The sequence below is a fragment of the Homo sapiens genome, chromosome 10 (assembly GCF_000001405.40).
Source record: "Homo sapiens chromosome 10, GRCh38.p14 Primary Assembly".
NCBI lineage: Eukaryota > Metazoa > Chordata > Mammalia > Primates > Hominidae > Homo > Homo sapiens.
This window is the reverse complement of record NC_000010.11, coordinates 46,430,459-46,455,314: the sequence shown is the minus strand read 5'-3', so window position 1 is coordinate 46,455,314 and position 24,856 is coordinate 46,430,459. Positions and strand designations below refer to the sequence as shown.

At 44.6% G+C, this 24,856-nt stretch overlaps 1 long non-coding RNA gene across 1 annotated transcript in view, besides 2 other annotated features; it reads right to left on the bottom strand.

Moving 5' to 3' along the window:
* Nucleotides 1–2,008: 2,008 nt before the first annotated feature.
* LINC00842 (long intergenic non-protein coding RNA 842) overlaps nt 2,009–24,856 on the bottom strand; it is a 54,945-nt gene continuing 32,097 nt past the window's right edge. Inside the window, exons 2-4 of the long non-coding RNA NR_033957.2 lie at nt 5,141–5,267; nt 4,844–4,962; nt 2,009–4,202 (exon numbers count right to left, since the gene is read on the bottom strand). This is a non-coding gene — a long non-coding RNA (long intergenic non-protein coding RNA 842). The remainder of the gene's footprint in view (nt 4,203–4,843; nt 4,963–5,140; nt 5,268–24,856) is intronic.
* Nucleotides 7,454–7,954: an enhancer, noted in NCBI's record as "H3K27ac hESC enhancer chr10:47101901-47102401 (GRCh37/hg19 assembly coordinates)". NCBI's record gives its function as "activates a minimal SCP1, AML or CMV promoter by ChIP-STARR-seq in primed H9 embryonic stem cells {active_cell/tissue: H9 hESC(primed)}" and the evidence as "EXISTENCE:reporter gene assay evidence [ECO:0000049][PMID:30033119]".
* Nucleotides 13,153–14,109: an enhancer, noted in NCBI's record as "H3K27ac-H3K4me1 hESC enhancer chr10:47107598-47108554 (GRCh37/hg19 assembly coordinates)". NCBI's record gives its function as "activates a minimal SCP1, AML or CMV promoter by ChIP-STARR-seq in primed H9 embryonic stem cells {active_cell/tissue: H9 hESC(primed)}" and the evidence as "EXISTENCE:reporter gene assay evidence [ECO:0000049][PMID:30033119]".

The following is a 24,856-nucleotide window of genomic DNA, read 5'->3' as shown; positions in this document are numbered from 1 at the left end:
CAGGGCATAATGGTCATGGTTCTCCCTGCCTCATTGGGCTCTTCTTCCCCATCTCTTTTCTTGGACTCTTGTTGCCCTGATTTTGGGACACTGGAGCATCCCCAAGGAGCCCTGGAGGTCCTCTCATTCCCCTGGTGAGCTCACCCAGTTTTCTGGTGCTAAATGCCACAAATACTCTAATGTTCCCCAGTGTATCTCCAGTCTGAACTTCTCCCTGACCTCCAGATTTGGGTGTCCAGGCATGCTTTGTGTTTCCTAGACACCAGTCAGCATCTCAAGCTTGGCACATTTAAAAGCAAACTCCAGATTTGTCCCTGCTACCTCCTTCCTCAGTGTCCTCCTTTTCAGAAAAGGGCAAGTCCTGCTTTTCATTTGCTTGGGCCACAGTCTTTGGGATCACCTCCTATTCACAACCCTCATCCAATCTATCGGTGAGTTCTGTAAGCTGTGCCTTCAAAATGTTCTCAGAATGACCACTTCTCACTGCCTCCAGGCTCTGCCTTCAGGTTCAAGCCACTGTCCTCCCTACTGAGATCATGGCAGAGGCCTCCTTTCTGGCCTCATTCAGCCAGAGTGATCCACTGAAACTAGTCAGGTGCCTCTACAACTTTGTTCAACCCTCCAGTGGCTTTCCATCATATTCAGGGCAAATTTCACAGTCACAGTCTCCACCTGTGTCTGCAGATCATCCACCCCTCTCTGGCCTCACTTCCCACTACCCTTCCCCTCACCCACTCCTCTTCAGCAGTGCTTGCTTCTCTGCTATCTTTTGAACAGGCTAAGACCTTTCCCGCCTCAGGCCTTTCTACTTCCTACTCTTGCTGCTTGGAATGCCACCCCTTGATATCAACTTTCTCCCTTGCTCCCTTCACCTTAAGTGAACCTTTATTAGAAGATTAATTTCCTGGCTGGGCATGGTGGTTTGTGCCTGTAATCCCAGCACTTCGGGAGGCCAAAGCAGGCAGATCACTTGAGCCCAGGAATTTGAGACCAGTCTAGACAACATAGTGAAACCCCATCTCTCTCTACAAAAATTACAAAAATCAGCTGGGCATGGTGGCACAAGCCTGTATTCTGAGCTACTTGGGAGGCTGAGGTGGGAGGATTGACTAAGCACAGAAGGTCAAGGCTGCAGTGAGCCATGATCACACCGTTGCACACCAGCCTGGGCAACAGAGTGAAAGCCTGTCTCAAAAAACAGAAGACTAATTTTTTAACCATCCTGTAAAAATATAACCATCCTCCCTCTCTCTTCCCTTTTCTGCCCAGTTTCTGCCACAGGACTTAGCACATTGGCTGGTTCTTTGTTGAGGGTCTCCACTCCCTCATTAGAACATGAACCCCATGGAAGTAGGCACTGTAGATGTTTTATTTACTGTCCAGCCCTCAGCAAGAACAGGCTGTTCACGAGAGGTGCAGAAGAAATATCCATAGTACAAGTGAATTTCCAACTGTTATAGTTCATCAGTGGAGAGCTGCACTTCAGCCTCTTATTTGTGGAGAGCGGGCATCTGGTTTTGTAGCTGTTTGGTCCCAAGTTTGACAGCCGTTGTCTGCTGACTGAAAGGGAGCTGAAGCAGCTCCCTTTGCATCCTGGTTTCCTGGTTTGTAATAATAAACACTGGCTGCCATGTATTTAGTGCCCCAACCACTGTGCCAGATGCTTTATATACATTGCCTTCCCTCAATCCTGAGATCAGATAGATGAAGAAACTGAAGCTTATAGAGGTGAAATAATTTTTTCCACATTTTCAATAAGAGCCAAAGATGAAACCCAATCAGTTATCTTCCAAAGCCTATGACTTAGACTGTTGTAGCAGGAAGGACAGTTGGCCAGATGACCTCCAAGTGGCCTTGAAGCTCATAGCTAGAAAGTATGAGCTTTATGGGCAATGGAGAAGCACTGAAAGCTTTTAAGCAGGGGGATGGCATGGTCAGGTTACATGGAGGGAGAGTAGTGTGGCTGGATTGGCCTGCATTCCCCAGAAAGCAGAAGCTGGGGCAGAGGTCTATGAGCTTTTCCTTTATTAGGGAGAAAGATCCCAGGGAACAAGATGAAGAATATGGGGAAGGAGACAGGGAAGGAGGGAGAGTCAATCTGAAGATGCGCTACTGAGCTGGCAGCTGATTACTCGGTATCTCTTAAAACCATCTTAGGACAGTTTGTCTGGACGAAAAAAGAGGTAAGAACTCATCCATCGGTTTCCATATTCCCTTGGCAAAGGTTCGTACATGGAGCATTACCTCCCCACACTCTGGGGACACACAGGAACACTGAACATACCTGGACATAAACAGAGCAGGTCCTGCAGAGATGAGAAGGATGTTTGGGGTATGAGGTGAGGCGCCATCAGGTCGCACCTGTGTGAAGCCAGTGAGCTCTCTCAGAGCTGGTGCCTCAGTGGGTGCTGGACCAAGAGGCCAGTGAGGACAAGAGGATCATAAGCAGAGCAGAAACAGCATCCAATTCAGGGTCAGAGGAGGTGGTGTGGGCTGAACTGTGTCCCCCCAAACTCATATATTGAATTCCTAACCAACGGTACCTCATCATGTGGCCTTCTTTGGAAGCAGTGTCATTGCAGGTATAATTAGTTAAGATGAGGTCATACTGGAATATAGTGGGTCCCTAATCCAATCCCTTGGCAAAGGTTCATACATTGAGCATTGTCCGTATAAGACTGGTGTCCTTATAAGAAGGGGAAATTTGGACACAGAAACACACACAGGGAGGATGTGTTGTGACCATGAAGGCAGAGTTCAGGGTAGTCCTTCTACAAGCCAAGGCATGCTGAAGATGGAAGTAATCCACTAGAAGCTGAGGGACAGGCACCCAACAGGCTCCTGCACAGCCTTCCGAAGGAACCAACCCTGCTGACACCTTGACCTTGAACTTGCAGCCTCCAGAACTGTGAGACCATAAGTTTCTGTCGTTTTAGCCGCTCTGCCTGTAACGCTTTGTTGTGGCAACCCCAGGAAACTAACAGAGGAGGTGAGATTGGGGGCAGGGAGGCCCATCTGTGGGGGGCATCATGTCAGTCAGGCACTCAGTAACTGGGGGAAAATCCCAAACTCAAGTGGGTGATGGCAAAATGGGGAAATTATCGGCTCATGGAATGGGGCTCTCCAAAGGAAGTTCTTTGACTTCAGGCTTGATTCAAGGGTTTGAACGAGGATGGTAGGGCTCTCTAGTCCTTGCCCCCTTGTCTCCACATGTTTTGAACTGCACGTTTGTGTGCCTCCAGAATTCCTATGTTGAAACCCTAACCCACAATGGGATGGTATGTGGAGATGGAGCCTTTGAGAAGTGATTAGATTTAGTTGAAGTTATGGGGATTCTTCATGACGGGATTAGGCCCTTACCAGAAGAGACCAAAGAGCATGCTCTCTCTCTCTCTCTCTCTCTTTCTCTGTCTTTCTGTCTCTCTCTCTCTCTCTCTCTGCCATGTGAAGATACATCAGGGAGATGTCCATCTGCAACCCAGGAAGAGAGCCCTCACGAGGAAACAAGCAGGCCAGTACCCCAGTCTGTAGGACTTCCCAGCCTCCAGAACAGTGAGAAATAAATTTCTGTGGTTTATAAGCCACCCAGCTTAAGGCATTTTGTCACAGCAGCCAGAACAGACCAAGAGAGGTGCCTGTGTCTTGATCTCTAGAGAGAGCATTGGCCAAGGCCAACCCAGCCATGAGAGAGAGACAGAGAGAGGCAGGGCTGGGCTGTGGCTGGCTGGGGTGTGGACTGATCCAGAGCTGGCAGTGGGCCAGAGGAAGTTCAGCTCCCCAGGGCTGGATCTGGTGAGAGGACATGGAGGTCAGCAAACAAGTTAGGGTCCTGAGGCACCGGGTGGGGGTGGGGTTCAGCAAGGAGGTCTTGGTGGACAGGATGTGGCAGTGGCAGAGGAGCTAGTTCTCCAGAGCTGAGACCAGAGATGATACCAGGTAAGTGGCCCTTCACCTGTGCTCTGTGGCCTCACTTCTGTAGAGAATCGAGGCCAGCTTCAGGGTCAAGCTTCTCGGCTGGAAGCTGGGAGTTGTTGCTGTGGTTCACTGAGTGGCAGGGATACAGTGATGACTGAGAAAATGCTGAAGAGACCTGGAAGTCCCCCATAGAAGAAATCTGATTCTTACAGCGCTGCGGAGAGGCAGTCTGGGAAGGCCTTTCTTCCCAGAGTATCTCTTCAAGGTTCTGATACACCTCACAACCCCTGCAAATACAGACAGACCGGAATGGGGCTCCCAGGTCCAGAGGAGATATTGGGAAAGGGTCCGAGGAGCAGAGCAAGATGTCTGCTTAGCCGGCAGTAGCCAGCACTCCCGGCCTGGGCAGCCAAACAGGCATCTGCAAGGGGACTTGACAATGATCGGTGGAGCAGGAGGGTGCTTGAGAGTGTGGCTGCTTAATCATGGCCTTGAGGTTTGTTGTTGTTTAAATGTCACCACTTATTTGAAACTAATTCCTGTCAGACTGCGAAAAGTTTATCAGTGTAATTGGGTGCCGGCAAAAAGCTCTCTTAAAATACACATCCTTTCATTCATAAAGCTATCAATGGGGCATTTGATTAGCATCTTTTTGACTGCCAAGGAAACCATACTGAAAGCAGGGCATGCATTCAGAACAAAGAACTCCAGCTCGTGGGTGAAAACTCTGCGATAGCCATATCTCCCCCACCAGATAGTGTGCTTTGTGATGGCTGGCAGCCTGTGCCCCTTGGAAATGTCATTTTCAGCCCCTTCTGGGCTTGTGACTAAGGTGTGGGTGGTGGATCTACAAAGGATTTCCCAAAAAGAAGGCCTCCTTTACATACCTTTTGTTCTGTGGACTGACCCACTTGTCCCACCCACATACCTGCAGCAGGCGGGAGACTTGTGCCTTAACTGGGCAGCTGTGAGCACCAGTTTTTTTCCCCAAATTCCTGGGTGCTATCTGAGCATGCTGCCATTTGGCAGTGGGGCCTCAGTCACATCCTGATGGAGAAAATGTGAAGGTTTGTCATCAGCTTATTTAACAATTCAGAGGCTGGAGTCTATTCCACTTTTTGTCCAGTATGTAGCTTTAAAACAGTTACATATAACATGGAACAGTATGACATGAAAAGAGAGAGGTTTATAGAGGGAGATGGGAATCGTGACAGCCCCTGCTTACGGAGTTTGCCCCTCCAGTCCTGAATTCTTCTGCATCCCCACATCCTGCTTGTCTGGAAAACGGCTGCAGCTTGCTACTTCGATTCTTGGCCTTCCAGAAACTGGACTCCTGGCCCATCTTTTCATCTCTTTGGAGAAACAAACAACAAACAATAATCTCGTCATAATTAAAATTCACTGTGATATAAAGCTACTCTAAAAATAGTACAATTAAAATTAAAATTTATTTCATTTCTTGAGCTGACATTTCAGACAGCCAGGGGCCTCCCACTAAACTTGAAGGTGATGAGTCTCTGCTCAGTCTCACCTCCCGGGCTTCTGTTCCAGCATGAGTCTGAGCTCCATTCAACTCTTCCCGGGCCTTTTCAGCTCTAGGTGTAAAGGTTCAGTGTGAACTCGTAGAAAGAAGACAGGCTTTTCAGTCAACAGATCTGAATTCTTACACGCACTGTCTCATAGTCCTTGGTCTCAGTTTCCATGTTTGTACAGTGAGGATCATGGGTTCCAAGGATTTGGGTTCCAAGGTGGGGTTGGACAATGAAACCATAGCTGTCCAGTGTGGTGGCCATGGGCCACATGTGACTTCTGAGCACGTGAAATAGAACTGGCACAAATTGAGATGTGCCAAGTGTAAATTACACATTGAATTTCAAAGACAGCCCCTACAAAGAATGTGAAGTGTCTCATTAATAATTTTGTATATTGATTATATGTTGAAATAGCAATATTTTAGATATATTGGGTTAAAGTATGAAAATCAACATCAATCTTTTCGTTTTACTCTCACTATTTTTTAGAGCAGCTTTATAGTCACAGTGAAATGGAGTAGAAAGAACCCAAATGACCACTCCATCTGTCCTAAGCCAGTCTGAGGGCTTTCTGTCCAGCCCTAACGCTGTACCATGATCCTCACTGTACAAATATGGAAACTGAGACCAAGGACTATGAGACAGTCCTTATAAGAATTCAGATCTGTTGACTGAAAAGCCTGTCTTCTTTCTACGAGTTCACATTGAACCTTTACACCTAGAGCTGAAAAGGCCCAGGAAGAGTTGAATGGAGCTCAGACTCACACTGGAACAGAAGCCCAGGAGGTGAGACTGAGCAGAGACTCATTACCTTCGAGTTTAGTGGGAGGCCACTGGGCTGTCTGAAATGTCAGCTCAAGAAATGAAATAAATTTTAATTTTAATTGTACTATTTTTAGAGTAGCTTTATATCACAGTGAATTTTAATTATGACGAGATTATTGTTTGTTGTTTGTTTCTCCAAAGAGATGAAAAGATGGGCCAGGAGTCCAGTTTCTGGAAGGCCAAGAAGGACTTCCCGTATCCTTCCTGGGCCCCAAACATGCACAGCCTCCCCGTTAGCTACACTGTCCACTAGAGTGGTGTGTTTGTTACAGTTGATGCCAGACTCCATGGTTCGGGGTTTGCTCTTGGTGTTGTACATTCTATGGATTTGGACAAATGCATCATGACACGTAACCACCATTATAGTATCACACAGAATAGTTTCATGGCCCTAAAAATCCTCTGTGTCTTACCTATTTATCACCTCCTTTCCTGTTAAACCCTGGCAACCACCGATCTTTTTACCATCCCCGTAGTTTTGCCTTTTCCGGAAAGCCATGTAGTTGGAATAATACTGTATGTTGTCTTTCATATTGGCTTTTTTCACTTAATAATAAGCATTTAAAGTTCCTCCATTTCTTTTCATGGCTTGACAGCTCATTTCTTTTTAGAGCTGAGTGATATTCCATTGTCTGGATGTGCCAAAATTTATTTATCCACTCACCTACTCGAGGACATCTTGGTTGCTTCCAAGTTTTGGCAATGATGAATAAAGCTACTGCTGTAAACATCCATGTGCAGGTTTTTATGTGAACATAAGCTTTCAACTCCTTTGGGTAAATATCAAGGAGTACTTTTGCTGGATTGTATGGCAATGGTGTGTTTAGTTTTGTAAGCCACTGCCAAACTTCAGCCGATTCCTGGTTTCCCTATTCTCGGCAGGCTGGCCTCACAAAGTTCGTCTCCTGCAGAGCTCCAAGGAAGCTGGTTTTGGCTGAATCTGAAGATGATCAACACTGGTAGGATGCTGCTGTGTCATAGACTGGAACCCCAGCTCCTGATCATGCTGGAGTGGGGCTGCTGCTCCCTGCAACCCCACCTGCCTCCCCCTTGAGCTGGAAGAGAAGGGCTGATGGCCAGAGTTCTGCCATACCCCACTACGATCAGATCAAGCTCTGATCCCACCAGGCCAGGGGCTGTGCTTCCTTGATCATATAAGCCCAAGGTCCGGGGTCGCTCTCCTGGAGTCTGACATCAGCCCGGCTAGGTCCCAGTGCGCTGCCCTGGAAGGGTCAGAACACTTGTTCCTGAGATTATCTCTGTGGATTTTCCCTGATGAACTCTGATCTAGCAGGAAGTGTATGGGCTGCTAAGTACTTTTCCCTTGTTTGCTCAAGGAGTTTGCGGCCCCAAGATCATTTCCAAAGCCTTTTGCTTCAGCTTGCTAAAGGGAGGCTGCTCTCACTCTCTTCAGCTTGCTAAAGGGAGGCGGAGTTCTGAGGAAGGCAGGCACCTTAAGGGATGTTGAAAGTTGCCTCTGTTTGCTGTGCCTACCACCTACTTCTAGTCCTCCTCTCGCCGCCCAGATCATCCCCTACAATGCATTACCCATGCCTGCCCCCCACCACCCAGAAGCTATGGGGGCTCTGGTCCAAGCCCCACACTTGTCCGAAAGAGGTGCCTGGGCCCCACAGAAGCCTTGTCAGATGATGGCAGCTCTCTTCTGATAGTTCAATGGATCTGCCACCTACACAGAGAGGTCTGGAAGTCGCTAACTCTCTTTGAGTCTCAGATTCCATAGTAGTCAAATGAAGGGTTTGAACCAGAATATTTTCAAGAATTTGTGCTCTTCTAAGAGTCCATGGTTTTTTTAAAAGTTAATTTAAGTTTTAAAATTTATTTTTTATTTTATTTAAACATTTTTATTTATTTTTTAAAATCTTTTATTTTAGGTTTCAGGGTACATGTGCAGGTTTGTTACATAGGTAAACTTGTGTCATGGGGATTTGTTGCACAGATTATTTAATCACTCAGGTACTGAGCCTAGTACCCAACAGTTATTTTTCTGATCCTCTCCCTCATCCTACTCTCCATACTCAAGTAGGCCCCAGTGTCTGTCATTCCCCTCTTTCTGCCCATGGGCTCTCATCATTTAGCTCCCACTTATAAGTGAGAACATGTGGTATTTTGTTTTCTGTTCCTGTGCTAATTTGCTAAGGATAATGGCCTCCAGCTCTAGCCTACACTATGGAATACTATGCAGCCATAAAAAAGAACGAGATCATGTTCCTGTAAAGGACATGATCTCATTCTTTTTTATGGCTGCATAGTATTCCATAGTGTATATGTACCACATCTTCTTTATCCAATCTACCATTGATGGGCATTTAGGTTGATTCCATGTCTTTGCTATTGTGAATAGTGATGCAATGAACATGTGCATGCATGTGTCTTTATGGTAGAACGATTTATATTCCTTTGCGTATATACCCAGTAGTGGGATTTCTGGGTTGAATGGTAGTTCCGTTTTTAGGTCTTTGGGGGAATTACCTCACTGTTTTCCACAATGATTGAATTAATTTACACTCCCATCAACAGTGTATAAGCATTCCTTTTTCTCTACAACCTTACCAGCATCTGTTATTTTTTGAGTCTATGATTTATCTTTGTGGGAAATAGAGTAATTTTAAGGCCCTCCAACCTCTCCATGGAATGAAGTAGAGATCTGCCAGCAAAGCCAGCATCAGGACCGAGTAGAATATCCAGTACATGGCAGGTGCTGCGTGATTTTTGTTAAAATCATAATCTCATTTTAAGAGGACTGTCCTACACAGGCCAAGCTTGATTCCATGGCTCTTCCAGTTAATTTCCTCATCTAAGTTAGTATTAGCCATGTCCACATCTGAGCTGTGCTATTAAAAGCCAGACCAGCAGCCTCATTGCTCCCATCGACGGGCATATGGTACTAGATAAAAAGCCATAAATGTCCAAACTGTTGAGAAAAAATGTGAGATGAGTTGAGGGGGACACAGGTTGCCAGCCTGCCACTCTGGGCCCCGTGCTGGCCTGGGTGCAGCCCTGTGTCCTGTGTTGCTGACCTGTCTCCCAGTGTCAGGCTTGGGCCTCCCTAGGAAAATTTTCCATGGGGCTCTGGGCCTCCTCCTCCCTCCTGCCTTGCCTGAACTGGCCCCACACTCAGGACTGGGGAGTGTCAAAGTGACTGAGCCTGGGGGAAGGAACAAATGCAAAGCACGTGAGGATTCCTCCTCTGGGGAGAGTTTATCCCATAAGTAATGACATCACGGTTCCCCAGCCTTCCAGGATGGCATCCTCAAGGTCATCTTCATCCTCTCTTCCTCTACAGGCTCTGCCACTGCAGCTACAAACTGCAGCGAAGGCCCCCATTAGGAAAAATACTCCCCACGACTTTGCCAGCCCCTGTTCTGGACCTTCTTCCCCTCAGAGCCAAGCCCCACAAGAGTGTTCTACACTCCTGGCCACCACACTCTCACTTTCTCTTTGCTTCTCAGCTGACAGGCATTTTCACTTCTGTGACTGCTGAAGCTGCTCTGCATAAAAGCCCATCTCTACTAAAGATAAAAAATTAGCTGAATGTGATGGTGGACAACTGTAATCCCAGCTACTTGAGAGGCTGAGGCAGGAGAATCACTTGAACCCAGGAGGCGGAGGTTGCAGTGAGCCGAGATCGCACCATTGCACTCCAGCCTGGGCACTAAGAGCAAAACTCTGTCTCAAAAAAAAAAAAAAAAAAAAGCACAAGTGGCATGGTCTTGCCATGCGATTTGGGTCCTTGCAATACTTGATCTTTGCAGCTTCATTCTTGACATCACCTCCCTGAAATCTCCTCTTCCCTTAGCTCCCATGGCCTGACTCCAGCTAGGTCCTCTGTCCCTCATATGCCAGGCTTTCCTGGTTCTGCTGTAGCTTTTGTGTCCTGCCCCCAACACCCTCCATAAGCAATTGCAACTGTGCCCCGTTCCCAGACTCACACCTTCTCCAGTCTCCGTCTACCTGCAGGCTGGACGCCTCCACGGCGTGTTCCACACATACCTCAAGTGCAAGTCCAAAGCAAAATATGGTCCTTCTCAGATTCCAGCTGGATTTTCCATCACAGTTATTCCTATTGTGAACCACTGAATTGCCTAGTTAGGGGCATCTGATTCAGACTTGTTCCTTTAGCTTGGACTATGTCAAGAACCTCCCTCAATGACATCTCTGCCACCAGGCCTTTTGTCCAGCGATCCTTTCTCTGGACAACGTCTCACATCTGACCTTGACTCTCCCACTCAGCGGTTCCTGCCCTCTGCAGGATGGGGTCCCCGTGCTTTCACATGGCCCCTGGCCATTCACAGCTTCCCCCTGGCTGGCCTTCCTCTCCTGCTTGTTCCAGCACCCCCTCACTCCCACCCCATGCTTGAATCCACAGACTCCTTATTTTTGGGTCCTCACATATGCCACACTGTGCCCAGCTCAATGCCTTCCGAATCTCATGCTTTCCAATTCCAAGTTTACCTTCTCTGAAAACTTTTCCTGCCTCCCTTGTTTCGTGTCTGCATCCCTGGCTTTTGCACTTTGCCTTGTTCCTGTTGGGCACTTAGGGAATCTTAGAGCTGGAAGGATGCAAGAGAGTCTCCATCTTTTCACCTGGCTGTAACCCCGGCAAACAAAGGGTGTAGGTTGTTATCTCCTGGGCAGCTGGCACAGTGCCTGGCCCAGAATAATGCCCCCTGAGAGCACAGTAAATTGGTTTCCACCGTGAAGAACAGATATTGGAGCTTGAAGGTGAGCTAGCCTCCAACAGGGGACCAGGGAGGTGCTAGGCCAGCGAGCCCACCTTCCCCACGATGCAGCCAATCAAGACTCCAGAGGGCTCCAGCAACAGCATGAAAAAAATAGCTCTCCATACAAAGCATGGAAACTAGACTTTAGGGCCTAGGGGAATGGGGCTTGTCTGCCTCTATGTAAGAAAGCAGGACAGGCCGGGCATGGTGGCTCACACCTGTAATCCCAGCACTTTGGGAGGCCGAGGAGGGTGGATCATGAGGTCAGGAGTTCAAGACCTGCCTGGCCAACATGGTGAAACACCATCTCTACTACAAATACAAAAAATTAGCCAGGCGTGGTGGTGGGCGTCTGTAATCCCAGCTACTCGGGAAGCTGAGGCAGAGAAATGCTTGAATTTGGAGGGAGGAGGTTGCAGTGAGCCGAGATCATGCCACTGCACTCCAGCTTAGGCGACAGAGCGAGATTCCATCTCAAAAAAAAAAAAAAAGAAAAGAAAGCAGGACAGTATATTGCAAATTAAGCTCAATAAAAAGAGAGAAAGAGAGGGAGAGAGAGAGAAAGAGGGAGGGAGGAAGGGAGGGAGAGTGAGAAGGAAAGGGGCAGTCAGGCAGACCATGGTCCCCTGCCAATTCTCTGGGCACCGGTGGAAGCAAGTTCTGCATCTTGGGCACAGTACTTTATCACCTGATTGTACTTCCTCCACCTTTCCCCAGGCAGAACTATTGACCCAGGGATCTATAACATTTGTATATATCAACACAGAAACCAATTAACAAATGCTTATATTCCTGTGCAAATATGCAAACTTCCTTCTGCAGACAGGGGTAAGCAGACACCTGGCAGTATTTTTAGAAATATTTAAGAAACACAGTTCAGGTAAGAAGCAGGCTGCTGTACCCTCCTCCGGGAGGACCAGTACCTAGAACCATCTGTTTTTCTTTGTCTTCCCTGCTCTGCTCTGAGCGTGGGGATGGTCCTTATCCTTAGCTTCATCTTTATTAAAGCTGGCATTTTCGGCTGGGCATGGTGGCTCACGTCTGTAATCCCAGCACTTTGGGAGGCCAAGGTAGATGGATCACTTGAGGTCAGGAGTTTGAGATCAGCCTGGCCAACATGGTGAAACCCCGTCTCTGCTAAAAATACAAAAATTAGCCAGGCGTGGTGGCATGTGCCTCGAGTCCCAGCACTCGGGAGGCTGAGGCACCAGGATTGCTTGAACCCTCCGCAGTCAGCCAAGATTGCGTCACGGCACTCCAGCCTGGGGGACAGAGACTCTGTCTCAAAAAAAGAAAAAAAAAACAGCTGGAATTTTCTTCAGTGCTTACGCTGTGCCAGATACATGCATTTACTCACTTCACAATGAGAGGGAAGCCACTATGTTTATCAGTGAAGCAGGGTCATTTGGGAAGCATTATCCAACACCACCTACTATGGGCCCGGCCCATGGCAACTGGAAGCAGCACTACTCAGAAGGAAAGGCATGTGGAGAAGCTCAGAGCTGACAGGGGAGTCTATACTTGATTGTAAGATTTCTGTACAAAATGCCTTTCTGTGTGCTGTATCATGTAGTGAAAGATAAGAAACAATAGAATGTCCAGCAATCAGAGAAGGCTTGACATGACAGGCTACTTTTTAACAGCACTGAGAAAAGCTTGCTATCTATTAAATATTTTAAAATCAGGTGCTAAGCCGCAGAGTAAGCACCTCATTATTTGGAAATGCACTTATACATTCACAGAAGCAACACCCCTGGAAGGAAATACCCCAGTGATCATGGGATTGTAGTAACATTTTTGTTTGTACTTTTTATATTCCTTAAATTTAAAATTCCTTATGAATAGGTGAAAAGCCTGTCCAGGAAGCTTTGTAGGGTCCCCTGAGTTCTTGGTGTTCTGTCAGTGGAGGCTGGTTTGAGTCATTCCTGTAGGAGAGCTACCCAAAACAAAACGAAGGGGAAGCAAGAGATGCAAGCTTCTAAGCCTCTGACACCTTTTGCAAAATTGCTTTCCTGCAAGGCTGTGCTGCTTCACCTGCTCCCCCACGAGCTGGTGTGAGAGGCACAGGGTTTGGAGCAGACAGCTGTGTTCTGAAGGGATGGCATTCTGTCTGGTGACACTTAGTGGCAGTCCACTTTTCTCCCACAGGTTGCTGGCTGATCTAGTTGCCAAGGCTCCTGCGTAGGTGTTATCTCCAAACATGCAGGCATAGTTAAGAGATGAGAAATACACGTGTTTGGACAAAAGACTGGAGCACAGTTCAATCAGCCTCAGCAACATTATCTCTAAAAGCAAATGAGTCCTGCTGTTGCTGGGGACCTACTCCTCTGCCTTGGCTGGAAGTGTTTGAGTCTGTCTGAACGGTCTGTTATCTCCAGGGCAACATAAAGTTTGCAGGAGGCCTGTTCACTCCAGGTGTTATCGCTGTCGCTGAGATGGTGCTAAGCCTACAGGCGGCAGAAGGCCAATTGCTAAGGCAGAGGGAGCCTTTAGTGGGGAGCCAGGCAGCCTGGGGACCCTGGGCCACAGCTTCCTTCCCTATGACATGCACTCTCATGCCCTTCCCACTCAAACATCCAGTCATTCTGCACGTCCTGGTAGAGGGAGATGCCAGGCGAACCCTCGGGGTAACCCCAGCACCTGGAAAAACTCCTCAGTGGGTTTGCTCAGTGTCATTTAAGGATCCCAACCTTGAAGGTTTTGGACTTGGGATCACACATTGTTTCATTCAGAGTGTTAGGATAGGGGTCTGTCTAGTTCAGGCATCTCAAGTTAGAGATGAGAAACCAGACTCAGAAGTCTGACGGTCCTTGGAGGCCGGCCGAGAGAAAGACCTGAGGCTCCCCGTCTCCCTGCCTGGGCACCTCATACCACCTTGCTTTTCCCTGCCCCATGTCAAGAGCAAGCTGGAGCCGAATTTGGGGCTCCCAGTTGGGCTCCAAGTGTGATTTCCTCCACACTTGATGACCAGGAGGCCATTTGTAGGAGGCTGGGATGAGCAAAGTGGGTCAAAGTGCCCCCTGCCTCCAAATGCTCGCGTGGAGGTTGGGCAGTCAGACACCATGGGGGAGAAACCCCAGGACTTTAGCAGAACAAAAGAAGGGCACCCTCCCTTCCTGGGCCCTGCCAGACTCTTGGCAGAAGGCCAGGGCTACTCATGGGGCGGGGAGTGGGGGAAGGAGGGAGGAGCAGGGATGGTCTGTTCCAGCCCTCCTGTGTTCATCCTGAGCCGAGTCACTGAGGCCTGCAGCACAGCTATGACACAACTTTTGGGGTGTCCTGGTAGGAGGGCTTTGGGCTACAGGTGAGGCATTGGAAGCAGATTTCTCTCTATAGTAAGGCAGTAGATCCCCAGGCCTTGCCCTCTGTTCCTGAAAATGTGAGTTGTACCTTGAACCACAAAATGGCTGTGGGGTGCAGCTTGGTGTGTTGGAAGGAGGGCTTTGGATGTGGGCTGCAACTGCATCATCCTTGCTCAGTTCTCATGTGGCAGGTGTGCTCCTGCCTGGTCTGGGGCAGTCTGGCAGGCTGCTCTGTAGCCCCAAGCCTGGATCTGCCAAAACTGGCAAGGAGTGGAGGCCTCCCCGTGGAGCAGTGCCTGAACCTGCAGCCCCTGGGGCAGACACTCCTGGCTCCTGGGCACCTCACTCACCATGGCTCCCCACTTTCTTAGTTGGCTCGGGCCGCTATTGCAGAATGCCATACACCACGTGGCACGTGGACAACATAAGTTTATTTCTTACAGTTCTGGAGGCTGGGAAGTCCAGGATCAAGTAGCTGAAACAGATTTGGTTTCTGGTGAGGGCCTCTTACTCTTTCATAGATGGCGCCTTCTTGCTGTGTCCTCCTATGGCAGAAGGGGTGAGGGATCTCTCCAGGGTCTTTTATAAGGGACCTAATCACCCCTGCACAACCCAGCCTCCTAATAGCATCACCTTGAGGTTTAGGATTTCAGCACATGCACTTTGGGTAAACACCGTCAATCTAGAGCATCCTCCCCCCCCCATCATGCTGGCTTCCGGACTCTGCTCCCAAGTGAATGTCCACACCCAAGGGGGGCCCTGAGTCTTCCTTAAGTCTCTTTGTCTAGGACAGACTGTGCTGAAAGGGCCCATCTAATCTCCTGATATGGTTTGGCTGTGTCTCCATCCAAATGTCATCTTGAATGATAGCTCCCATAATTCCCACGTGTCGTGGGAGGGGCCTGGTGGGAAGTAATTGTATCATGGGGGCAGGTCTTTCCCATACTGTTCTCGTGATGCTGAATAAGTCTCATGAGATCTGATGATTTTATAAAGAGAAGTTCCCCTGCACATGCTCTCTTTTGCCTGCCACCATGTAGGATGTGACTTTGCTCCTCATTCACCTTCCACCATGATTGAGAGGCCTCTCCAGCCATGTGGAACTGTGAGACGATTAAACCTTTTTCTTTTACCCAGTCTTGGATATGTCTTTATTAGCAGTGTGAGAATGAGCTAATACATCTCCCGACAGCCTGGGCCCCACCCACCCCCACTCTTCAACCCTCCTCAGTCTGTCCTTGTACAGGTTCCTTCTCCTCCAGCCCCATCTCGCTTCATGTGACTTCTTTCTTCCTTAAACTCTCTGCACTCTCTCCTGCTCCCAGGATTTTGTATCTGCAGTTTCCTCTGCCTGGAATGTACTCCACCTGGTCTACAACTCCCAGCTAGCCTGGAGTGGAGAGCTTCTATGTCACTCCCTCTGGGATGCTCTTGCTGACCCCCAAGACTGGCTCAGGCCCTGAGTTTGACCCTCTTGTGGTTCAGAGAATTCCTGGGCATAGCCATGCCCTCACTTGTGCTTCCACTGCCACATGGGGTTGCTGGACTGTTGTCCACTTCCTCAGGGGCATCTGCTTCCTCAGAACAGGGCCTGGGCATTTTGTCACCTAGGATTCCAGTGCCAGCACAGAGAGTGGGCTCAGCTGCAGACACTCAGCAATGTTGACTGAATCAGGAGGCAGCAGGTGACTCGATGTTATGGGCTCACGGGAAAACCCCTCTCCTCTTCAGAGGGCCTTACCCTGAGGTGGCCTCACCCCAGTTGTCTTCACTGGGTATGGGTCTCTTTGCCCACCCGCTGCTGCCTCACTAACCTTCCTGGCCTCAGACAAATCTAAACTCAAGTCAAAACCAGGGTGAAGATGGGCCTACGTCAGCTCCAGAGAGGGACAGCCTGAATTCCCCTCCCTCTGGTCCCATTTCCTTGGGAGGATCAGCCTCTTCCTGGATGATGACACCAGGGCTCTTCACCCCCTAGGGAGGGGTCCAGCCCATGTCTGTGGCTCTGGTCTGGGCCCTGAGGGGACACACAGTAAGTGGCAAACACAGACGGACCAGGCCGAGAGCAAGACAACATCCTCAATGGTTAAGATGTATAGGCCAGAGGGAAATTGATCAGGAAATGAACTTAGAAGTATCCAGGGACTGATGGGGAAGGAGCTGTATTTGGAGGACCTGTGATGCAAGTTACAGAATCAAAGATGTGGCCCCTGGTTTTGCTGTGTCCTCCTGGAATGGGTAGCAGGACAGGAGCCACCATGCAGAGGGTGGTCACACACTCGGGCTTGCTTTAACCTGGGTCTTTCCTTACCAATGCATTTCTGGCTACACTGGGGAAAACGAGGTGGCTAACACATTTTTTTTAGGTGTTAGAAGACCTGTGTGCACTTTCTCTCTTTCTCCCTGCACTCCAGCCACACTGGCCTTTGAGTTTGTAGAATGCCTACACTCTGCTCTGCCTCAGGGCCTTTGCATGTACTGTGCTCACTTTATGGAAAGCTTTGCTCTCAATCTCATCCAATCTCTTTAATTATTTGAATGCTATCCATCCTTCAACATTCAGTTCAAATATCATAGCCAGTAAAATCTGCTGTAATAAACTCTCTTAGTTTCCTCCAATTTTTCTTCCTAATATTTATCTCAGTTTGTAGTCATGTATTCTTGCGATGGTTGGGCTAATATCTGCCTCCTCACTGGTGTTTAACCTCTAGTAAACACTAGAGGTTTAATCTCTGAGGTCACATCTCTGAGGGCAGAGATATGAGTGACAGGTCCAGTCTTATTCCCAACATCAAGGCCAGAGCCTGTCAGGCAGCAAATGCTTAGTAAGCATTTGTTGAGTTGACTTTGAATTGTCAGAGCCAGAGGGTCGGTTTAGCATTGACACATGGGGGACATCATGGGAGAAGCCACGTTTTGTTAGGACCTGGCCCTGGGGAGATTTCTTAAGCCAAAGGCTTTGGGTCTGCCACCCTTCCATCCAAGGAGAAGTCTGAAGACAGGGTCAGCATTTTGTTTGTCCTCCACAGTTGCTAACTTTTTTTTTATTTTTTGAGACAGAGTCTCCCTTTTTCACCTAGGCTGGAGTGCAGTGGCATGACTTCAGCTCACTGCAACCTCCGCCTCCTGGGTTCAGGCAATTCTCCTGCCTCAGCCTTCCGAGTAGCTGAGATTACAGGCATGTGCCACCAAGCCCAGCTAATTTTTGTATTTTTAGTAGAGACAGGGTTTCACCATATTGGCCAGGTTGGTCTTGAACTCCTGACCTTGTGATCCACCCTCCTCGGCTTCCCAAAGTGCTGGGATAACGGGCGTGAGCCACCGAGCCTGGCCCACAGTTGCTAACTTTTAACACACAGGACATTTCATGTAAAAATTGTGACTTGCAGCTTCTTTTGAAGAATCTGAAGTCAAGCAGCCCTGGCCTGCATTTGTGCATGGCTACCTTTGTGGGATCTTGGTCACAGCTGACCCTTTGGGTGGGCATGCTACTCTTCAGTTAGTTGGGCCCTCTTCACTAGTTTTTTCACTAGTTTTTAGCACCTGCTTGCCCCTGTTAGCAGGTATGGACTTTTACCTGAACACTCAGATTAGAAAGAGATGGAAAAACCACATGGCCTTGCAGAATAAGGGAGATCTCATCTCCATGCAATGAGGAATCAGTGGCAGGCCTCTTTGCAGAACCTCCCTGGAAGGGAATTGCTATGGTTGCATGTGTCCCACAAAGTTTATGTGTTGGAAACTTAATCCCCAATGCAGCAGTTTTGAGAGGAGGGAGTAATGTACAGAAAAATATCCAGAAATCTGTACAGTTGATATGGCTTGGCTCTATGTCCCTACCCAAATCTCCTGTTGAATTGTGGTCTTTAGTGTTGGAGGAGAGGCCTGGGGGGAGATGATTGGATCATAGAGGCAGATTTCCCCCTTGCTGTTCTTGTGATAGTGAGTGAGTTCTCATGAGATTATCACTTCCCCTCCTGCTCCACCATGTGAAGGATGTGTTTGCTTTCTCTTCCCCTTCTTCCATGATTTTAAGTTTTCTGAGGCTTCCCCAACCATGCTTCCTGTACAGCCTGTGGAACTGTGAGTCAACTAAACCTCTTTAACTCATAAATTACCCAGTCTCAGGTCATTCTTTATAGCAGTGTGAGAACAGATTAATACAACAGGGTTCCCCATGGATCTGTTATAAAAATTAGGTTGTGGATGTCTATCATAAAACTCCAGGAGGCTGGGCAAAGGGTGATTGGAAAGCAGTGAGCAGGCACTTTCAGAGCTCATGTGGGACATGGGGGGACTCCTGCATTCCTACCAGCCAGAGTGGAGCGTCCTTGTAGAAAATCTGGTGCGTTCAGTTGACATCCCAGAAAAGTCATGTCTTGGCAGGAGGAGTAAAGAAGCCCTAAATAAAGTCTAATCTAACCCCTTTCCTTCAGTCAAAGCTTCAAAACAAACCTCAAAAGGGTCAGGGTAATTTCTAAGTAACTCAGCTGGCTGCCAGAAAAATATCTACCAATCTTTAGAGGAGGACAACAAAATCTAGCATTAAGTAAGGTATAATTAACAATGTTTGGTGTCATATAAGAAATACAGACATGTAAAGATGCACAGAAGTGCAACTCCTACCAAGAGAAAAACCAGTCAATAGAAACACACTCAGGAATGATGGATGTTGGAAATAGCACACAAAGGATTGAAAACACCAATTACAGATATACACACGAATTTAAAGGAAACATGAAAGTAATCATCAAAGAAGGAGAAAAATTAAAAAGGAAATACAAGGGCCAAAAATAAAAATCTTAAATAAAAAAATTTCTTTATGAAATGAACAGATTAGACGTGAAGAAGAAAAGATCAGTGAACTTGAAAGTTGCAATAGAAACTTTCAAAACTAAAATTCAGTCAAAAGAGACTAAAAAGAAAATTTAAATGAATCTTTAGTAACCTGTGGGAAAATATTCATGCAAGTATATGGATCACATACTTGTAATTGGAAGCTGAGAAGGAAAGGAAAGAGGGAAGAGAAAAAATATTTGAATAATGGTAAAAAATGCTCCAAATTTGATGAAACATACAAAACCACCCATCCATGATGCTCAATAGATCAAAAGCAAGATAAGCACAAAGAAAACTATGCAAGGTAAAACATAATCCAATTGCTAAATGCCAGTGGCTAAGAAATGTGGGTGGGCTTCATCAAATCTATTGAAGATCGGAATAGAACAGACAGACTGACTCTCCTGCAAGTAAGAGAGAATTTCATCCTGCCTGACTGCTTTGAGCTGGGAGGTGGTTTTTTTTTTTTCCTGCCATTTTTGAACTGAAGTATCAGCTTTTTATGAGTCTTGAGCCTGCCAGCCTTTGAACTGGAAGTACACCATTGGCTCTGCTGTTTCCAGCTTACTAACTGCAGATTTTGGGACTTGTCAGCCTCAATAATCATAGGAGCCAATTCCTTACACACACACACACACACACACACACACACACACGTTATGCATATGTACAAAATTATATATAGTTATATATTATATTTAAGTATAATCATATCTATCTATTCCAAAATTGGGTCTCTAATCTGATTACATTTTAAGTTGCTAATAACTTTATTTCCAATTGTAAAGAGAGCACTAATAGTCCATGGCATGATCTAGCAATAAAGATATCACCACTGGATACTCCTAATCAACCCCTTATAAGAGACAAGGAGCTGGGTAACGGTGTATACTTTCAATTATTTTCCTCACACTAACAAATATAATAAGACTCACCAGGTGTTTCTAATGTGAAGTGATACTAAGTGGACAAAGGATGAAAAACACTTAATGGTAAGTATGTGGGTAAATACAAAGGCTTTTCTCATTTTTAAATTTCCTTAAAAGATAATTGATTGTTTAAACAAAAATAATAACAATGTACTGTGTGGCTTATAACCTATTAAAGCAAAATATGTAATGATAGCATGATGGACAGAATGGAGGAAACGGAAGTATATGGTTGTAAGGTCTTACATTGTACATAAAGTGTTATAATAGTATATTTGTAATGAGCTAATGATACATATTGTATACCCTCATGCAACCACTAAACATGAAGCCAGAGTTATAGCTAATGAACTCACAGTGGAGATAAAATAGAACCATAAACATTTTTAATTCCTCTAAAAGAAATCAAGAAAAGAGAAATAAAGGATGAAGAACAGATGAAATAAACAGAGAACAAATGACAAATGGTAGATTTATACCCAACTATACTGATAATTATATAAAATGAAACTGGTCTAAAAATTCCAATAAAAAGACAAATATTTTTAGACTGTATAATAAGGCAAGACTCAACTCTATGTTGTCTGAAGACCTCAATAATTTAAAGGCACAGGTAGGTCAAAAGTAAGAGGATGGAAAAAAATATACCATGTAGCACCAATTATAACAAAGTTGGAGGGGCTAGTTAAATATCAGAAAAAGTAAACTTCAGAACAAGAAATATGCAGAACAAGAAATAAACGAGAACATTTCATAATGATAAATTTATCAGAAAGAGAAAAATTGTAAACATATATTCACCTAATAATAGAACTTCAAAATATGACAAAGAAATGGACAGAAATGAAGGGGGAAGTAGAGAAATCTACACTTATATTTACAAATTGTCATACTTGTTTCTCAGTAACTTATAGAACAAGTAGAAAAAATGAATAAAGGGGAAGGACACTTGAACAATATTACTAACCAACTTGATTTAATTGATGCCTATAGAACCTTCTACCTAAATACAGATTTTTAGGTGTAGTGTTCTATATCCTAGGAATGCAAAGTCAGTTTAATCAACAGCGCAATAAATCAATCAATGCAATTCACCGTATTCGTAGAATCCACATTGTTTCCAACTGAACACAAAACTTTCATTATAATGGACCATATCTGGGGCAGAAAACAAGTTTATACATTTAAGAGGACCAAAATAATATAGAACATGTTATCTAAATTCAGTGGAACTAAAATAGAAGTTAATAGCAGAAGGATATCTAGAAAATCCCCAAGTATTTGGAAACTGAGCAACATACTTTTAAATAATACATGGATCAAAGAGAAAATCACAAAAGATATTTTAAAATAATTTTTCCTAAATAAGAATTAGAACACAGAATATCAAAATTTTTGTAATGATTAGAGACAAATTTATAACTTTAAATGATTTTTATTAGAAAATATAAAAAGTCCAAGGTCAATGATTTAAGCTTTACTTTTAGAAGTTGGAAAAAGAGGAGCCAATTAAACCTAATGTAAGTAGAAGAAAGGAAATCAAGTTAATAGCAGAAAACAATGTAATAGAAAACGGAATAATAAAGAAAGTCAATAAGATAAAAAGTTCTTTGAAAAGATCAATAAAATTGATAAACTCCTAATAAAAAGTCATAAAACAAACTACCAACATCACTAATAAAAGAGGGAATAAAAATTACAGACTATGTAGAGATTAAAGAAATAATATGGGGATATTATAGAAGCTTTACGGCAACAAATTTGACAACCCAGAGGAAATGGGAAAATTTTTCAAAAGAAAAATTACTAAAGCCCAGTGAAGAAAAAATAGATAACCTGAATAGCTTTATAACCATTAAAGAAATTAACTTTGTAATTAAAAACTTTCACACAAGGAAAATTCCAGGCTCCAGTGACTTCTCTAGTGAATTCAATCAAATATTTAAGGAAGTAGTAGTATCACTTTTATACAAACTTGCAGAAAGTAAAGGAGGAGGAAAGACTTTCTAACTTAATTTATGGGATCAGCATAATCCTGATATCAAACTCAGAGAAAAGATACTACAAGAAAAAAATCTTATAGGCCAATGTCCACAAGGAATATACATGCAGCTGGGCACCATGCTCACGCCTGTAATCCCAGCACTTTGAGAGGCTGAGGTGGGTGGATCACTTGAGGCCAGGAGTTCAAGACCAGCCTGGGCAACATGGTGAAACCCCATCTCTACTAAAAATACAAAAAATTAGCTGGGTGTGGTGGTGTACGCATGTAATCCCCGCTATTCAGGAAGCTGAGGCAGGAGAATCACTTGAACCTGGGAAGTGGAGGTTGCAGTGAGCTGAGATCGTACCACTGCACTCCAGGCTGGGAGACAGAGCAAGACTCTGTCTCCAAAAAAAAAAAAAAAAAAGGAATATACATGCAAACATCCTTAAAATATTTCAGTATGTTGAATCTAGGAATATATGTAGAGGGTAATACACTATGACCAAGAGTGCTTATCCTAGAAATGCAAAGTTAATCAGTGCAATTGACCAATCAATGAATGCAATTCTAGCAGTTTAAAGCAGAAAACCCAGGTGATGATCTAGATAGATGTTATAAAAGCATTTGACAATATGCAATACTCATTCACGATGTACTTTTTTTAAAAAAAATAAAATCCTCTTAAAACACTGGAGTAGAAGGGAAACTCATCAACCTGAAAAAATGCTGTCATGAAAAACCTACAGGTATTATCAAATTTGATAGTGAAAGACATAATGTTTTCCTCCTCAGGTTGGGAGTGCGGCAGGAATGTCCACTTTTGCCATGATCATTCAACATTGTACCAAAAGTCCTAGGTGGTGCAATAAGGTAAGAGGAAATACCGACATAAGATTCGAAAGGAGGAGGTAAAAGTGAATCCATTCATAGAAGAAATAATAATGTACTTGAAAATCCTAAGGAATTTACAAAAAGTTACTAAAATAAGCGAATTTAGCAAGGTCATAAGATACAATGGTCAATAAACAAAAGATCAGTTGTTTTCCTAAATTGTGGCAATTTGGAAGATTAAATTATATAAATAATACTGTCTATAGTACCATTTGAAAATACTTACAAGATGAGCAAAATCTCTATGTAAAAAACTATGAAACATTGTGGAGACAAAGTGAATTGCCAATATTGTTAAGAAGTCAGCTCTCCTGATTTTTGGTTGAAATTGACAAAGCGATTCCAAAATCTACATGGAAGTACAAATAATCTAGAATAATCAAAGCAATTTTTACAAAGAATGAATGTTGAGGACTTATCTACTTTATTTCAAGATTACAGGAAAGCCAGTAATGAAGACATGTGGTATAGGTTTCAGTTTAGACAATTCATCAGTGGAACAGAATCAGATGTCCTGTTTCTGGACATACATAATATGTTGATTCCTAACAAAGTTACCAAAGTAATTTGATGGGGAAAAAGATAGTCTTTGAATAAATGGTGCTAAAACAAGTGAAGATCTATACATGAAAAAAGTGAACTTCAACCCTTACCTATACCATAACTTGAAATGTATCACAGACAAAAATAAAAGCTAAATTTGTAAAGCTTCTAGAGAAAAACATAAGAGAAAATCTTCACAACTTGGGCAGGCAAAGATTTCTCAGGGCACATAAAATTTTTGAGGAAAAAAATTGATAAATGGGCCTTATTGAAATTAAAAGTTTTTGGTCTACAAAAGACACCATGAAGAAAATGAAAGGGCAAGTTGCAGACCAGGAGAAAATATACACAGGTATTTGGCAAAGTAATGGTATGCAAAAATTAAAAAGAACCCTGGAAGATCAGTAAGAAGAAGACAAAACAACTTTATCAAAATGGGCAGAAAATTTTGAGCAAACACTTCCCGAAACAACCAATAAACACATAAAAAGATGCACTGCAGCATTACACATCAGGGAAATGTGACGACCCCTCACACCATGAGGATGCCTGAACTTAAAGATCGACAATTCTGAATTTTTGTAAGAATCGGGAGCAACTAGAACTCTTGTACAATGTTAGTGGAAATTCAGGATTAATGCTGTCACTTCGAAAAACAGTTTGGAAGTTTCTTATGAATTTAAATATATACTTACCATACAAACCAGAAATTTCCACATCAAGTTAAAAAGCTGCACAGCAAAGGAAATGACAAAGTGAAGAGACAGCCTACAGAATGGGAGAAAATATTTGCAAACTACCCATCTGATCAATAACCAGAATCTATGCAAAGCTCAAACAACTAAATAGGAAGAAATCTAATAATATAATTAAAAATGGGTAAAATATCTGAATAGACGCTTCTCAAAAGAGGTCATACAAATGACACATAGGCATATGAAAAGGTGCTCAACATCATTGACTGTCAGAGATATGCAAATCAAAACTACAATGGGATCTCATGTCAACCCGGTTAAAGTGGCTTTTATCCAAGAAAGGCAATAACAAATGTTGGTGAGGATGTGGAGAAAAGTGAACCCTTATACACTGTTGGTGGGAATGTAAATTAATACAGCCACTAGGATGAACAGTATGGAGGTTCCCCAAACAACTGAAAATAGAACTACCCTATGATCCAGCAATCCTACTGGTAGGTAAATACCCAAAAGAAAGGAAATTAGTGTATCAAAGAGATAGCTGCACTTCCATGTTTATTGCAACACTATTCACAATAGCCAAGATTTGAAATCACTCTAATTGTTCACCAATAGACAAATGGATAAAGAAACTGTGGTACATATATACGATGGAG